The sequence below is a fragment of the Homo sapiens genome, chromosome 19 (assembly GCF_000001405.40).
Source record: "Homo sapiens chromosome 19, GRCh38.p14 Primary Assembly".
Lineage (NCBI taxonomy): Eukaryota > Metazoa > Chordata > Mammalia > Primates > Hominidae > Homo > Homo sapiens.
In genome coordinates this window covers 10,060,001-10,077,365 of record NC_000019.10, presented here as the reverse complement: position 1 = coordinate 10,077,365, position 17,365 = coordinate 10,060,001, and the positions used below count along the sequence as shown (strand labels likewise).

Genomic DNA, 17,365 nt, shown 5'->3' with positions numbered 1-17,365 from the left:
GGAGGCTGAGACAGGAGAATTGCTTGAACCTGGGAGGCAGAGGTTGCAGTGAGCTGAGATCGTGCCACTGCACTCCAGGCTGGGTGACAGAGAGAGACTCCATCTCAAAATAATAATAATAATAAATAAATAGACAAAGACTCAAGGAAACCAAAAGTTGGTTCTTCAAAAAGATAAAGAAAATTGACAAACCTTTAGCAATACTGACAAAGGAAAAAAAGGTGCAAATAACTAAAATTAGAAATGAAAATAGAGGCATTACTACTGACCTTACAGAAATTTAAAGGATTATAAGAGAATGCTATGAACAATTATTCACCAACAAATCAGATAATCTATCTGGATGAACAAATTTCTAGAAATACATAAAACTAACTCAAGAAGAAATAGAAAATCTCAACAGATCTGTAATAAGAACTAGAATTAGTAATCAAAAACCTCCAAACAAGAAAAGGTCATGACTGAATGATTTCAGTGATGAAGTCTACCAATAAGTTAAGTACACATTCTTTTCAAATGCTTCCAACAAATAGAAGAGGAAGGAACATTCCTTCCTTCCTTCCCTCCCTCCTTCCTTCCTTCCCTCCCTGCCTCCTTCCCTCCCTCCTTCTTTCCTTCCTTCCTTCCTTCCTTCCTCTCCTCCTCCTCCTTCTTCTCTTCTCTTCTCTTCTCTTTTCTCTTCTCTCTCCTTCTCCTTCTTCTTCTCCTTCTTCTTCTTCTTCTTCTCCCCTTCCCTTCCCTTCCCTTCCCGTCCCGTCCCATTCCATCCCGTCCCGTCCTGTCCTGTCCCGTCTTGTCCCATCCCTTTCCTTTTCGACAGGGTCTCAGTCTGCTGCCCAGGCTGGAGTGCAGTGGTGTGAATGATTTACTGCAGCCTTGACCTTCTGGGCTCAAGCAATCCTCCTGCCTCCCATGTAGCTGGGACTACAGGCACACACCACCACATCCAGCTAATTTCTTGATTTTTTTGTAGAGACAGGGTCTCACTTTGTTGCCCAGGTTAGTCTCGAATTCCTGGACTCAAGTTGTCCTCCTGCCTCAGCCTCCCAAAATGTTGGGATTACAGGAGTGAGCCACTCCACCTGGTCTCTCTCTCTCTCTCTCTCTCTCTCTCTCTCTCTGTCTGTCTCTCTTCTTTTCTTGGATACAGGGCTTTTCTCTGTTGCACAAGCTGGAGTGCAGTGGCCTGGTCATAGCTCATTGCAGCTGCCTGTGTCTCCTGGGCTCAAGGAATCCACACACCTCAGCCTCCTGAGTAGCTGGAACTACTGGTGTGTGCTATCATGCCCAGCTTTTTTCTTTTTGTTTCTTTCTTTTTTTTTTTTTGAGACGGGGTTTCACTCTTGTTGCCTAGGCTGGAGTGCAATGGTGCGATCTCGGCTCACCGCAACCTCCGCCTCCCGGGTTCAAGCGATTCTCCTGCCTCAGCCTCCCTAGTAGGTGGGATTACAGGCATGTGCCACCATGCCCGGCTAGTTTTTTATTTTTAGTAGAGACGGGCTCTCTCCATGTTGGTCAGGCTGGTCTCCAACTCGTGACCTCAGGTGATCCGCCTGCCTCAGCCTCCCAAAGTGCTGGGATTACAGGTGTGAGCCACTATGCCCGGCCAATATTTTTTAAAGTTTTAATTTGAGACGGGGTCATGCTGTGTTGCCCAGACTGGAAGAGGGATTTTTTTTTTTTTTGAGACAGGGTCTCATTGTCACACTGAAGCTGGAATGCTGTGGTGTGAACAGAGTTCACTGCAGCCTCAACCTTCCAGGGTCAATCCATCCTCCCACCTCAGCCTGCAAAGTAGCTGGGACTATAGGCACATACCACCAAGCCTGGCTAATTGTTGTATTTTTTGGTAGACACAGGGTTTTTCCATGTTGCCCAGGCTGGTTTGGAACTCTTGGACTCAAGCAATCTGCCTGACTCAGCCTCCCAAAGTGCTGTGACTACAGGTGTGAACCATCATGCTCAGGAAGAGGAGAAAATTCTTTCTTTCTTTCTTTCTTTTCTTTTTCTTTTTTTTTTTTTTTTGAGACGGAGTCTCGCTCTGTCGCCCAGGCTGGAGTGCAGTGGTGCGATCTCGGCTCGCTGCAAGCTCTGCCTCCTGGGTTCACACCATTCTCCTGCCTCAGCCTCCCGAGTAGTTGGGACTATAGGCACCCGCCACCACGTCTGGCTAATTTTTTTGTATTTTTAGTAGAGAAGGGGTTTCACCATGTTAGACAGGATGGTCTCGATCTCCTGACCTCGTGATCTGCCTGCCTTGGCCTCCCAAATGCTGGGATTACAGGCGTGAGCGTGAGCCACTGTGCTGGGCCTTTTGTTTTGAGACAGAATTTCGCCCTTGTTGCCCAGACTGGAGTGCAATGGCACAATCTTGGCTCGCTCCAACCTCTGCCTCCGGGGTTCAAGTGATTCTCCTGCCTCAGCCTCTCGAGTAGCTGGGATTACAGGCAAATCACCACACCTGGCTTATTTTTTTGTATTTTAAGTAGAGACAGGGTTTCTCCATGTTGGTCAGCTTGGTCTCGAATTCCCAACCTCAGGTGATCTGCCTGCCTCAGCCTCCCAAAGTGTTGGGATTACAGGCGTGAGCCACTGTGCTGGCTAGTTTTTTTATTGTTGTTGTTATATAGACGAGAGGTTTTTATATTGCCCAGGTTGGCCTCAAACTTCTAGCCTTGCCTCCTTGTGCACCAGGACAACAGGCCTGAGCCACCATGGCTCCCAAGAATATTTCTTAATTTCTTTTACACTCTATGGGGCCAGCATTCCAGACACTGATACCACAAGAAGAGAAAACTACAGACCAATATTCCTTATGAATATAGATGCAAAAATCCTCAACAAAATGTTAACAAACCAAATCCAGCAGCACATTAAATGGATTGGATACCATGGCCTGCTGAAATTTATTCCCCTAGTGAACCCTGCCTCCTAGTGGTCATGCCTTGTGTAGTCTCCACCCATGCTGAATAATACTGGCTCATGTGACCAATAGGACGTTGCAGAAATGATGGCATGTGACCCCTGAGGCTAGGTCATAAAAGGTACTATGGCTCCCTCTGCTCCTTCTCTTGGAATATTGACTCTTGGAGAGCCAGCTCCCAAGTGATCCTCCTGCCTCAGCCGCCCAAGTAGCAGGGGAAGAGGGAGGAGACAGGTCCACATTATGCCAGAGCAGGTTGTGCAGGTCCCCTGGTGAAAGCTGACACAGGGACAAATGTCCAGGGTTTGGGTGTCATATCCTGTGCTCTTTATTTGGGGTTAAACCCAGTGGCCCAGAGCTGCCTGATGACACCTCCCTGAAAGCAGAAGAGGCTCAGGACTGGCAGCCGTGGGTGCGCATATATTCCAAAAATTCCTCCAGTTGGTCCCGCAATTCTTTCTTGCTGGCATCTCCATCTGCTGGCCAAAGGATGAGGAACGTCTCCTTGCCCAGAACATAGCTGTAACTGTGGGTTACAAGAAGCAAGAAGGTGAGGAGAGCCTGGTGCCCCTGGGGATATGGGGACCTCCCTGCCCTGTCTGACAGCCTGCCAGAGCCTTAGCCTGTAGTGTCCACACCCGAGGGCCCTCTCTGATCTTCCAGCCTCTTAGTCCAAATCACTGGGAATTAGTAAATGCTTCCCTGGCCGGGTGCGGTGGCTCACGCCTGCAACCCCGTGATTTTGGGAGGCCGAGGTGGGTGGATCACTTGAGGCCAGGAGTTTTAAGACCAGCCTGGCCAACATGATGAAACCCTGTCTCTACTGAAAATACGAAAATTAGCCCAGTGTGGTGACACACGCATGTAGTCCCAGCTACTACTTGGGAGGCTGAGGCAGGAGAATTGCTTGAAATCTCCAGCAAAAATTGTGGAACTGAGGGCTGGGTTGAGGGTAGGCAAGAAGGCCCAGGCCTGAGTCCCCAGGACAGGTGGAACCCCTCACGCACTCAGATTTGATTCTCCACAGGTCTGACGTCTGGCCCATGATGAGGTACGATTCCTGTTCTTGCAACCCCAGGGAGTCATGGCAAGTGGCATGGGAGACGAATTTCTTCATGGCCAGGGGTGTGGCAGGGTCCGTACCTGGAGAAAACCCGGTGTGTGCACATACACAGGTCTGACCCTCCCACACAATGGGACCCCCAGGGTGGGCCCCCAGGGTGACCCCACACTGGGATTCCTTCTTTGTCACCTGGGACATACCACTCTTAATGATGTCTTCGAGCTGCGTGTTGTAATAGACGTAAGGGTTGGAGGCAGAGACCTCCACAGATTCCAGCTTTGTCTTGTACACTGGGGAAGGGGAGGGTGTCATGTTGGCATTCGGCCTGCAGGTGGGCTCTGCCTGTCCCCTGTGGCTCCCCACACTCACCAAAATCCACGCCTGCCTCACATGCTGTTGTCTGGAGCTCCTCCTGCCTCAATTGGCCACTGGGCTTCTGCAGGGATGGGCACTGTCCTGCAGGGTCAGGAGGGCAGCTGCTCTGGCGGTGCTGGGACAGGGCACTTCCTCCCAATCACCCCCCACCCTCCCTCCCTTCAGCCCCCAGGCCTGGGTCTCCGGATCTGGCCCTTCTGGTCTGTGGGGCTCTCTCTCTGTCTCTCTCTCTCTCTTTTTCTTTTCTTTTTCCTTCCTCCTTCCTTTCTTTTTCTTCTCTCTCTCTCTTATTATTATTATATTTTTAAGAGTTGGGGTCTCTCACTATGTTGCCCAGGCTGGTCTCAAACTCCTGGGCTGAAGCAATCCTCTCACCTCGGCCTCCCAAAGTGTTGGGACAACAGGTGTGAGCCATCATACCTGGCCTATTTATTTATTTATTTTTTGAGACAGAGTCTCGTGCTGTTGCCCTGGCTGGAATGCACTGTGATCTCAGCTCACTGCAACCTCCACCTCCCAGGTTCAAGCAATTCTCATGCCTCGGTCTCCTGAGTAGCTGGGACTACAGGCATGCACCACCACACTCAGCTAATTTTTGTATTTTCAGTAGAGATGGAGTTTCACCATGTTGGCCAAGCTGGTCTCAAACTCCTGACCTCAAGTGATCCACCCACCTTGGCCCCCAAAATGCTGGGATTACAGGTGTAAGCCACTGAGCCCGGCTTTTTAAATTTATTTTTGAGACAAGGTCTTGTTGTATCACCCTGGCTGGAGTGCAGTGGCACAAGCATAGCTCACTACAGTCTCCAACTCCTGATCCTTCCGCCTCAGCCGCCCAAGTATTTGGGACTACGGGTACTTACCACCACTCCTGGCTAATTTTTTAAAAAAATTTTTTGGTAGAGATGGGGTCTCACTGTGTTGCCCAGGCTTGTCTGGAACTTCTGGCCTCAAGCCATCCTCCCGCCTTGGCCTCCCAAAGTGCTGGGATTACAGGCATGAGCCACCATGCCCAGTGTCTGTCTCTCTTTTTGGTCACTTTCTTGTCTATTTCTCCCGTCTTCGTCTCTTTGTGTCTTTCTCTCTGTCTCCGTGTCATTTGATCTTTGGCAGTGCGAGTATGTGTGTGTGACAAGCTTTGTCTCTCTGTGCCTTCTTTCTGTCTCTCTTTGCCTCTGCCTCTGTCTCTTTCTCTTTCTGTCTAAACTCAGGCCAGACTACAGCCAGGAGGAGGCTTGAAGGGCTCCTGGATCCGCCCCCCACAACCTGGCAGCCCCAGCCTGGTGGCATGGGGCTCACCCTCGGCACATCTCACCCTCTGCACATCTGCAGATGTCTTTGTGGCAGATCTTTCTCAGGGAAGATTGCTCTGTGGGCAGGTTGTAGAAAGTGCTGCACCTCCGGGCTGTGGATGGAGGGTGCAGGGGTTGGGGGAGGGCGTTGTCTTGGGCCAGTGTTCCTGGGGGTTCGTTGCCTACCTGGCCTAGTCCTGAGAAGTCTTCACCCACTCCGGGCCCTGGCCTGCCTTCCCCATCCTCCAAAGTCCAGGCTCCCTCCTGCCCCTCCTTGTCCCTGGGCTGCGCCCTCCAGGTCCTCCCAGACCTTCCCCTCTTCCTGGCCCTGCCCCCTACAAACCTCACTTTGAAGGGCCCTGGCCAGCCACCTCTGTCAACAGGCCACGCCCACTCAAAAGAGCCTGCCCCTTCCCCATCCATTCCCAGCAGGCCACGCCCAGTCCCCCTTCAACTTTGCCCCATCTCCTTCCTGTCCCCGCCAACCTAGGTCAATCCAATAAGACCTCGCCCCTTATGTCTAGCCAGGCCCAGCCCCCTTTTCGCAATGCCCGGTCTCTCCTCGCCTGGCACCTGGCTCTGTCCTTTGCAGGCCTCATCCCCATGCACGGGGGCCCCTCCTTACAAGGCTCGTAGTAGTCGTAGATGGTGACCAGGGCGGCCTGCAGGAACTCCGCCTGCAGCATCCTGTGAACCCGAAAGCCCAGCACCGTGTTCTTCTCATGGGAGAGCTGGAGAGAACAGAGTCCTGTCTGAGCCGGCCAGGGCCACTGACTGGGGCACTGACCTTGTGGCACTGACCACGAGGCCTTGGCTGTTGGCATTGGCCATGACCACGGACCATGTGGCCTTGACCACAGGGATCGCAACTGGAGGAGCTGACCTGAGAGGGCCTGGCTCTCTGCAAAACCCACCCAGGGGACCGACCTTGGGTTCTCCAGCCCCCAGGGTACCCACACACCTCTGGCGGAGGGCACCCGGCCCCTCTCACCTTTTCCAGGTAGAGGACAACAGTGCTGTCGCTGGTACTTGTCTTGGTTTTGTACTGAAAGGCGTACCTCTCCACATCACTCGTGAGCTGGGGCAGAGGGTGGAGACTGGAGGGTGGCTGACAGTCTCCAAGGCCCGTAGCCCTAGAGCTCCAGCCTTTGTCCAATCAACCCCATGCTAGGGGAAACTGAGGCCCAACCAGGGAAAAGTTTGGTTTTGGCCATGCAGAGAAGTAACGATGGGGCATTAACCCAGAAGCCTTGCTTTGAGTAGACACTGCCCTGCACCCATGTGGGAAGTATGGGAAGGTTGCTCAGGAAGCAGGTAGGTGGGGTCTGCATTACCTGTTTGAGGTCATCCTGGTTGGGGTAGAAGCCCGTGAGCAGGGAGACCTCCATGATAGTCATTGTGGCCTCTCAATTGTTCTGGAACCTGGAAGTTCACAGCCCCAGTCTTTCCCCACTATCCTCCCGCCTCTCTCTCCATGCTCCCCACTGCTGTTGTCTCTGGCTTGGACCAGCGCAGTAGCCTCCTTCCAGGTCTCCCCATGTCCCCTTTGCCACTCACAACACAGAGCTTTAGCAAGCAGAAATCTGACTACCTTGCCTCGTTGCTTCAATTACCAAATGCCTTGCCTCAATCCTGACACCCTTCCACATCACCTCCTCCCACCTCAGCCTCCATTTGATCACTGTTAGCCTTGTTCCCTGTCCTGCCACCAGACTTTTGCACATGCTGTTCACTCAGCCTGGAATCTTCGTTTCTGCCTCTTCATCCTGAAACACCCCTCATGTTTTCCATCTCAGCGGATACATCACTCCCTCTGGGAAGCCTTCCCCAACCTACACCCCACACACCAAATCATTTTTTTTTTTTTTTTAGACAGGGTCACCCAGGCTGGAGTGCAGTGGCTCAATCATGGCTCACTGTAGCCTCAGCTTCCTGGGCTCAAGTGATCCTCCAGTCTCAGGCTCATGAGTAGCTGGGACTATAGACATGCATTACCACCCTTAGCTAATTTTTGAATTTTTTTTTTTAGAGATGAGGTCTTGCTGTGTTGCCCAGGCTGGCCTCAAACTCCTGGGCTCAAGTGATCCTCTTGGCTTCCCAAAGTGCTGGGATTACAGGCATGAGCCACCGCACCAGGCCCAGATCATTCTCTGATTTGCCTCTCATGACTCTGTAAACCTCTCCTTTGCCACATGAAATCACCACTGCCATTTCATTATTGGTTCTGTGTGATTATTTGATGATTGTGTGTGTCTCCTGATAGACTGTGGGCTTCGCCAGGGCAGGGAGAGGCTGCCTTGCTCATAGCTGGGTCCCTAGCTCCAAGAACAGGGTCTGGCACACAGTAGGTGCCCAATAATGTTTCTATCTGAAGCAGACCTGGGCAAGGGAGGTATGGGACAGGGCAGGACTGGGGTGGGGGCTGGGATGTTCGGAGAAAATGAGAACCACGGGGAGAGCTTCAGGGCTTGGAGCCAGCTCTGGGCATCTGAGTCATGGAGCATGTCAGCTGAGGTAGAGCCTGTCATATGAGGACATGCAGACATGGAAGGAGGCAGGTACAGAATGGGGGACAGGCATGGAGAGGCAAGCTTGGCTGGTTCCCACTGTCCACTCAGTACACGGGGAAGGCCGCTAAGGAATCTAGATACCGGAAAGTGAGACCCTCCTCCCTCCCAGTTCAAGATCCTGGTGCGCTGACCTTGTTTCCATCCGGAGCCGAAAAGTCTCACCTCCCTTTTTATTTTCTGCAGAGAGAAGGCAGCAGTTTAGAGGCTGGGGAGCACAGTAATCAAGTGCACAGTCTCTGGAGCTAGCATCTTGGATTCAAATCCTGACTCTGCTGTGTGACTTTGAGCAAGTTGCTTAACTTCTCTCTGCTTCAGTTTACTCATCCTTAAGGGGGGATCATAATATTCCCAACCCAACAGGATTGATGTGAGGATTAAATAAGTTAATACAAGTAAAGCCCTCAGCATGGTGCCTGATCAGTGCTTTGTAACTATTATTATTATTGTTATTATTATTAAGAGATCAAGCAAAAACCAAAACCTTGGTGAGGTTTAGTCCCTAAAATTCATGGGACTGGTGAGGGTTGTTCCTCTTACTCCCACAGTGAGCTCCCAATAGTCCTCTCTCCTTCTTGGTGCCCCAGGCTGGGAACTGTGGAATCCAACTATTTCTCTGTTTTTGTTTTTTTTTTCTTTTGAAAGAGGTTCTCACTCTGTTGCCCAGGCTACAGTGCAATGGCACAATCATGGTTCACTGCAGCCTCCACCCGGGCTCAAATGATCCTCCCGCCTCAACTTCCTGAGTAGCTGGAACCGCAAGCATGCATCACCATGCCCAGCTAATTTTTTGTAGAGATGGAGTTTCACTATGCTACCCAGGCTGGTCTTGAACTCCTGAGCTCAAGTGATCCTCCTGCCTCAGCCTCCCAAAGTGTTGGAATAACAGGCATGAGTCACTGTGCCCGGCCCACTAATATCTGATCATCTCCAGAGCCCCTAATCTGGCCCGGCCTCCATCATCTCCTGCAGGACCAGTGCAGTCACCTTCCTGGTCACCTGGCTCCCACCCTCACCCTCTAGAGTGGTCAGATCAGAGGGAGCCTGTGCAGACCTGTGCCAGGTCACACTCCTCCTCCGTTGGGAACTTTCTATGCCCCACCTGACTCAGAACAAAAGCCAAAGTCCTCACTGTGGCTAACAAGTCCCTACACCATCTTCCCCCATCACCTTTCCAACTTCTTCTCCTAAAACTCTACCCTTACTCCTCCTGTAGCCACACCAGGCTTACCTTCTAGGGCACTGTGGAGAGTCGCATTCAGGTGGTACAGGTTGCAGTTGTCCTCCCGGGACTCTGGGGACTTGTGATACATTGTCAGGATCTGCCGGGCCAGGAAAGGGGGCTGTCAGAGCCCTTCCCCACCCACTGCCTTTCCTCTGCACCCCAATCCTTGACTTCCCAGGTCTCTGGCCATGTGGGGAATTTACTGCAAGATTGCCCCCACCGACCCCATCAATTCCTAGGTGCAGTGGCCAGAGCAGTGTCTGGAGTCTAGACCAGCTCTGTGTCATAGAACTTTCTGCAGTGACGGAAATGGTCCCAATTGGCATTGTCCAGTATGGCAGCCATTAGCCACATGTGGCTACCAAACACTTGAAATGCGGCTAGCTCGACGGAGAAACTGAATTTTGAATTTTGTTTAATTTTAACCCATTTAAACTTAGATTTCACAGAGGCTTGAAGAAAGGTATGACTTGCTCAGGGTCACATAACAAAGGCAGAGATTCAGCCATGACTCCATTGTCTGGAACACGACACCAGGCCACCTTTTGGTTAACAAAAGAGCTGTCCTCCCGGGTATACGTCATGGGGCTGGAAGATGTCATGGACGTCAGGCTGGGCATGGTGGCTCATGCCTGTAATCCCAGCACTTTGGGAGGCCAAGGCGGACAGATTACTTCAGGTCAGGAGTTTGAGACCAGCCTGGCCAATGTGGTGAAACCCCGTCTCTACTAAAAATACAAAAAATTAGCTGGGCATGCTGCTGTGCACCTGTAGTCCCAGCTACTCAGGAAGCTGAGGCAGGAGAATCACGTGAACCTGGGAGGCAGAGGTTGCAGTCAGCCGAGATTGTGCCACTGCACTCCAGCCTGGGTGACAGAGCCAGATTCCATCTCAAAAAAAAAAAAAAAAAGTCATGGACGTCATCCCAGCACTCAGCCTCCCAAAGTGCTGGGATTACAGGCATGAATCACACTGACTGGCCTATATTTATTTATTTAGGTTATAAATAAATAATAATATGAGTATAATAGATTACTTATTTATTTTATTTTATTTATTTATTTATTTTGAGACAGAGTCTTGCTCTGTTGCCCAGGCTGGAGTGCAGTGGTGCGATCTCGGCTCCCTGCAAGCTCCACCTCCTGGGTTCAGGCCATTCTCCTGCCTCAGCCTCCCCAGCAGCTGGGAATACAGGCACATGCCGCCACGCCTGGCTAATTTTTTGTATTTTTAGTAGAGACAGGGTTTCACCGCGTTAGCCAGGATGGTCTGGATCTCCTGACCTTGTGATCTGCCTGCCTCGGCCTCCCAAAGTGCTGGGATTACAGGCATGAGCCACCACACCCGGCCTGAAACAGAGAGTGTACCCTGCCTTTATCTTGGACTTCCCAGCCTCCAGAACTGTGAGCAATAAATTTCTCTCTCTTTCTTTCTCCTTTCTTTCTTTCTTTCTTTTTCTTCTTTCTTTCTTTCCTCTTTCTCACTTTTTCTTTCTTTCTCCTTTCTTTCTTTCTTCTTTTCTCTCTCTCTCTCTCTCTCTCTTTCTTTTCTTTCTTCTTTCTTTCTGACAGAGTTTTGCTCTGGTCACCCACGCTAGGGTGCAATGGCTCAATCTTGGCCTCTGCCTTCTGTGTTCAAGTGATTCTCCTGTCTCAGCCTCCCATGTAGCTGGGACTACAGGTGACCGCCACCATGCCTGGTTAACTTTTGTATTTTTAGTAGAGACAGGGTTTCACCATGTTGGCCAGGCTGGTCTCGAACTCCTGACCTTAGGTGATCTTCCCTCTTCGGCCTCCCAAAGTGCTAGGATTACAGGCGTGAGCCACCATGCCCAGCCAAGCCACTGCACCGAGTCTTTGTTTCTTGCTTTCTTGCTTTCCTTTCTTTTCTTTCTTCTCTTTCTTTTCCTTCCTTCCTTTGAGATAGAGTCTCACTCTGTCATTTAGGGTAGAATGCAAGGTCTTGATCACGACTCACTGCGGCTTCCACCTCCTGGACTCAAGCAATCCTCCCACCTCAGCCTCTTGAGTAGCTGTGACTATAGACATGTGCCACCATGCCCATCTAATTTTTCAATTTTTTGTAAAGACAGAGTCTCACTCTGTTGCCCTGGTGCATCTCGAACTCCTGGACTCAAGTGATTCTCCTGCCTGGGCCTCTCAAAATGCTGGGATTGCAGGCATGAGCCACCATGCTGGGCCAATTTCTGTTGTTTATAAGCCACACAGTCTATTTTGTTGTAGCAGCCTAAACAGACTAATACAGTAGAATACAAGACCTACCGAGATGGTGCCTCTCCCGTTGCCACTGGCTTTGATCTCTAGGTCGTCCTGGGCAAGGAACTGAAGAGAACAAAGAGGAAGATTTAAGGGTGGAGGAAGCAGCAAAGTGAGGGTCAAGTGTAGGGGGATGTGGAGCCTGAACACTCACCAGGGCCTCGGTTTTCCCTAACCTGGGACCTGGTGATTCATTTTCCATCTCTCTCCACGCAGATGGTTTTGCTTTTCCCTCTTCAGAGAGCATTTGTGGTGTCTACACTATCATAGATCAACTGGAACTGCTCATCCAGCCTGTGTATTTTTTTTTTTTTTGAGACCAGGTCTCAGTCTGTAGCCCAGATTGGAGTACAGTGGTGCGATCTTGGCTCACTTTGGTGCGCTCTGCCTCCTGGGCTCAAGCAATCCTCCTGTCTTAGCCTCCCAAGTAGCTGGAACTACAAGTGTGTGCCACCATGCCTGGCTAATTTTTTTTTTTTTGTATTTTTTTGTAGTGACAAGATCTAACTATGTTCCTTATGCTGGTCTTGAACTCCTGACCTCAAGTGATCCACCCGCTTTGGACTCCCAGTGTTGGGATTACAGGCGTGAGCTGCCATGTCCAGTCTAAGGCTGTCTTTTTTTTTTTTTTTTTAGACAGAGTCTCATTTTGTTGTCCAGGCTGGAGTACAGTGGCGTGATCCTGGCTCACTGCAACTTCTGCCTCCTGGGTTCAAGCAATTCTCCTGACCTGCCTCAGTCTCCCGAGTAGTTGGGACTACAGGCTTGTGCTGTCACGCCCGTAGAGATGGGGTTTCAGCATGTTTGCCAGGCTGGTCTCGAACTCCTGACGTCAGATCATCTGCACGGCTCAGTTCAGGCTGTGTCCTAATGTGCATCCCTGGAATCTGTTCTCTTTGGAGCATTTCCAAGGTTCCCTGTGCATGGAGCTCCCATGAGCCCCTTCTCACTGGCACCTCTGCACCTCTCTTTATTTTTCTTTGCCTTTTAAAATTGATGCATAATGGGCTGGGTGCAGTAGCTCATGCCTGTAATCCCAGCACTTTGGGAGGCCGAGGCGGGTGGACCACCTAAGGTCAGGAGTTCGAGCAGCCTGGCCAACATGGTGGAACCCCGTCTCTACTAAAAAATACAAAAATTAGGTGAGCATGGAGGCAGGCGCCTGTAATCCCAGCTACTCGGGAGGCTGAGGCAGGAGAATCGCTTGACCCCAGGAAGCGGAGCCTGCAGTGAGCTGAGATTGTGCCACTGCACTCCAGCCTGGGCGACAGAGTGAGACTCCATCTCAAAAAACAAAAATTGATGCATAATGGATGTACATAGTTTCAAGGCACGTGTGATAATCTAATGCACTCATATAATGTGTAAAGATCAGATCAGTGTACCTCAGATATCCATCACCTTAAATATTTGTCTTTTCTTTATGCTAAAATCATTCTAATTCTTTTCTTCCAGCTATTATGAAATATGCAATAGATTATTGTAAACTATATTCATCCTATGAATCTATCAAACACTCGGTCTTATTTCCTCTATCGAACCGTATGCTTGTACCCATTAATCAACTTCTTTTCATCCCTCCCTTTCTTTGTACACTTCCTATCCTCTGGCAACCACCAATCTAATCTCTATCTTCATCTGCAGCTACTCTTGTTTTCCTCATTATAGTCTACTTGTATCAGCCAGAATAAAATTTTAAAAATTCACAGCCAAGCCAAACATAGTGGCTCATGCCTGTAATCCCAGCAGTGTGGGACGCCAAGTGGGGAGGATTGCTTGAGCCCAGGAGTTCAAAACATGCCTGGGCAATTTAGCTAGACCCCATCTCTACCAAAAAAATTGAAAATTAAGTCGGGCATTGCAATGCATGTCCAGTCCCAGCTACTCAGGAGGCTAAGGCAGGAGGATCGCTTGAGCCCAAGAATTCGAGTCTGCCGTGAACTATGTTTGTGCCACTGCACTCCAGCCTGGGCAACAGAGTGGGACCCTGTCTCTAAAAAACAAAAAACAACAACAACAAAAAAAGAAAGAAAGAAAGAAAAAAAGTCACAATCACTCAAATCTCATTGCCTATAGGATCAAATATTATCGCCTATAGGATAAGTCCTAATTCTTGCCATGGCCTCCCAGCCCTCACTGCTGAGCTCTGCCAGCCTGCAAGCCTCCTAATAGCCTGCTTTATTTGCTGTTCTCCCTTCTGACCATTCCTGTGCCTGACTGGCTCCGGGTCTGCACTCTATGCTGTTCCCTATGTCAGAAACACTCTTCCTTGGCTAGGCGTGGTGGCTCATGCCTGTAATCCCTGCAATTTGGGAGGCCGAGGTGGGCAGGTCACATGAGGCTAGGATTTCGAGACCAGCCTGGCCACCATGGTGAAACCCCATCTCTACTAAAACTACAAAAATTAGCTGGGCTGGTGGTGCGTGCCTGTAATCCCAGCTACTGGGGAGGCTGATGCGGGAGAATCGCTTGAACCCGGGAGATGGAGGTTTCGGTGAGGCAAGATCACGTCACTGCACTCCAGCCTGGGTGACTGAGTGAGACTCTGTCTCAACAACAACAACAACAATAAAAAGAAACACTCTTCCCCTCCCTCTGCTTTCTTCATTTTGACAACTATTTATCCAGGGACATCCACTAAACAATGCATGAGCTTAGATGAGTTGATTTACTTCTTCTTTTCTTTTTTAGTAGAGATGGAGTCTCGCTATGTTGCCCAGGGTGACATTTCTTTTCATTTATTTATTTATTGTTATTTTTATTTTGAGATGGAGTTTCACTATGTCACTCAGGTGCAATCTCAGGTAACTACAACCTCCTCCTTCTGGGTTCAAGTGAGTCTCCTGTCTCAGCCTCCCGAGTAGCTGGGATTACAGGCATGCACCACCATGCCCGAGTAATTTTTGTATTTTTAGTAGGATGGAGTTTCACTATGTTGACCAGGCTGGTCTCGAACTCCTGACCTCAGATGATCCACCCACCTCGGCCTCCCAAAGTGCTGGGATTACAGGCGTAAGCCATGGCATCTGGCCCATTTTCTTCTAGATCTTAGGGACTCTTCTAGATTCCATAAGAACAGGGACCATGGATCTTTCATAACATAACCCCAATGCCTAGGAGAGTCGCTGATACATAGTAGATGCTCAGGAAATGTTGATGGAATAGATGAATCAATACATTGACAGTATAGCCACATATCTTGAGGTATGTCTTGAGGAGGGAGATCAGCAGGGACATGATGCTTGGCCTCATCTCCAGTGCCATCTCTGCGTGGACTCTGGCCTGCCCCTCAGTGACATACCTTTGCTGACCGCTGTTGGTAGGCATTGCTGTGATCAATGTACCAATTCACATTCAGGGCTGTCTTGGGGGCTCTGATCTGGACGTGGAGATCCTGGATGCCCTTGAAGGGGACAGCTTCGCGGAAGCGGGTCAGAGCTTCAAGGGCCACCACCGTGGTCTGAGTGTTGGAATGGGGCGGGGAGGTGGGGGAACGTGGATCAGTACCACAGACAGCACTCGAGAAACCATCGGCCGGCGTGTCAGCACCACGGACAGCCCCCCCCCCCCACACACACACACACACACACTCCCCCGTCGGGCTGGGCGAGTCAGCACTTCGGCTAGTGACTCTGGCCCTCACCTCCCGGGGGTCCCCATCACCTGGGTGGACCTGAAGCCTCCTCCCAGCTCCTGCTTCTCTAGTAGCCACTTGGCTATGGCGTGTGTCTCATTGTACCGGCCCAGCTCCAGCTTCTGCATGAGCCCATAGGCTGTGGCCTCAATGGTGTACAGGGAGCCCAGATTCTGCTCATCCACTGGCCAGTGGGTTTTGTCTAGAAACAGGGACGCCCGCCTTGTCACCCAGAGCTGGGCCCACCCACCTTAACCTGCCCTCTCTTTGTGTCATCTGGCCCAGTTTTCTCATCTGCCATCTTATTGATCACCTACTTTATTTTTATTTTTTGTAGAGATGGGGGAGTGGGGGTTGGGGGGGTTCTCATTATGTTGTCGAAGCTGGTCTTGAGGCCGGGAGGCTTCAAGCCATTCTCTCACCTCGACCTCCTAAAGTGTTGGGATTACAGGCGTGAGCCACCATGCCCAGTCCTGATCACCTACTTTATGTGAAGCTCTTTGCTGAGGAAACGTGGACATCCAATTTTCAGAATGACCCTGGGAAACGGGACTCTATTTTCCGATCGGGAAATTGAGTTTCAAAAAAAAAGTTCCTGGCTGGGCGCGGTGGCTCACACCTGTAATCTCAGAACTTTGGGAGGCCAAGGCAGGCGGATCACCTGAGGTCAGGAGTTCGAGACCAGCCTGGTCAACATGGTGAAACCCTGTCTGTACTAAAAATACAAAAAAATTAGCCAGGTGTGGTGGTGGGTGCCTGTAATCCCAGCTACTCAGGAGACTGAGGCAGGAGAATCACTTGAACCTGGGAGGTGGAGGTTGCAGTGAGCTGAGATTGTGCCATTGCAGTCCAGCCTGGATGACAAAAAAAAAAAAAAAAAATTCCTTCAGGTCCCTCCAGTCCCATTGCAAGCAAATTTTCCTAGTTCCACTTTGCTTGACTTGCAGAATGGGGAAGATGGGATATGGACCCTTGGGGATGAGATAGCATCAGCCATGGGATTTTTTTTAAATTTTTATTTATTTATTTATTTATTTATTTTGAGATGGAGTCCCACTCTGTTGCCCAGGCTGGAGTGCAGTGGCGCCATCTTGGTTCACTGCAAACTCCACCTCCCGTGTTCAAGTGATTTTCCTGCCTCAGCCTCCCGAGTAGGTGGGATTACAGGCATGTGCCACCACGACCGGCTGATTTTTTTTGTATGTTTAGTAGAGACGGGTTTTCGTCATGTTGAGCAGGCTTGTCTCAAACTCCTGACATCAAGTGATCTGCCCGCCTTGGCCTCCCAAAGTGCTGGGATTACAGGCATGAGCCACCGCGCCCGGCCCATGGGAAGGTTTTATAACCTTTCCATCCTTGACAACACCAAGCACTCTTTCCACTTCAGGGTGTTTGCCTGTGCTGTTCCCTTTGCTTGAAATGTCCATGGCCTTTCATGAAGGTGTGCCTTAAAAAGGGTTTTTTTTTTTTTTTTTTTTTGGCCGGGCACGGTGGCTCAAACCTGTAGTCTCAGCCCTTAGGAGGCCGAGATGGGTGGAGATCAGGAGGTCGAGACCATCCTGGCTAACACGGTGAAACCCCGTCTCTACTAAAAATACAAAAAATTAGCCGGGCGTCATGGCGGGCGCCTGTAGTCCCAGCTACTCGGGAGGCTGAGGCAGGAGAAGGGCATGAAGCCGAGAGGCAGAGCTTCCAGTGAGCCGAGGTCGCACCACTGCACTCCAGCCTGGGGGACAGTGCGAGACTCCGTCTCAAAATAAATAAAAAAATAAATAAATAATTTTTTTTTGGCCGGGCACGGTGGCTCATGCCTGTAATCCCAGCCCTTTGGGAGGCCGAGGTGGGCAGATCACCTGAGATCAGGAGTTTGAGACCAGCCTGGCCAAAATGGTGAAACCCCGTCTCTACTAAAAATACAAAAATTAGCCAGGCGCAGCGGTGGATGCCTGCAATCTCAGCTACTTGGGAGGCTGAGGCAGAAGAATCGCTTGAACCCGGGTGATGGAGGTT

The 17,365-nt window shown here is 50.4% G+C and overlaps 1 pseudogene across 1 annotated transcript in view, besides 1 other annotated feature; it reads right to left on the bottom strand.

Moving 5' to 3' along the window:
• Window positions 2,441-2,542: a silencer, noted in NCBI's record as "fragment chr19:10185500-10185601 (GRCh37/hg19 assembly coordinates)". NCBI's record gives its function as "represses an EF-1alpha promoter that drives an FKBP-Casp9 reporter gene in an ReSE screen in phorbol 12-myristate 13-acetate-treated (for megakaryocytic differentiation) K562 erythroleukemia cells {active_cell/tissue: K562(+PMA)}" and the evidence as "EXISTENCE:reporter gene assay evidence [ECO:0000049][PMID:32094911]".
• The window catches only part of C3P1 (complement component 3 precursor pseudogene), a 32,783-nt pseudogene continuing 18,645 nt past the window's right edge, over window positions 3,228-17,365 (bottom strand). Inside the window, exons 19-30 of the transcript NR_027300.2 lie at window positions 15,385-15,557; window positions 15,023-15,181; window positions 11,728-11,787; window positions 9,452-9,542; window positions 8,355-8,400; window positions 6,988-7,075; window positions 6,645-6,731; window positions 6,279-6,384; window positions 4,356-4,442; window positions 4,187-4,276; window positions 3,931-4,066; window positions 3,228-3,449 (exon numbers count right to left, since the gene is read on the bottom strand). The product of NR_027300.2 is annotated as a complement component 3 precursor pseudogene (transcript). The remainder of the gene's footprint in view (window positions 3,450-3,930; window positions 4,067-4,186; window positions 4,277-4,355; window positions 4,443-6,278; window positions 6,385-6,644; window positions 6,732-6,987; window positions 7,076-8,354; window positions 8,401-9,451; window positions 9,543-11,727; window positions 11,788-15,022; window positions 15,182-15,384; window positions 15,558-17,365) is intronic.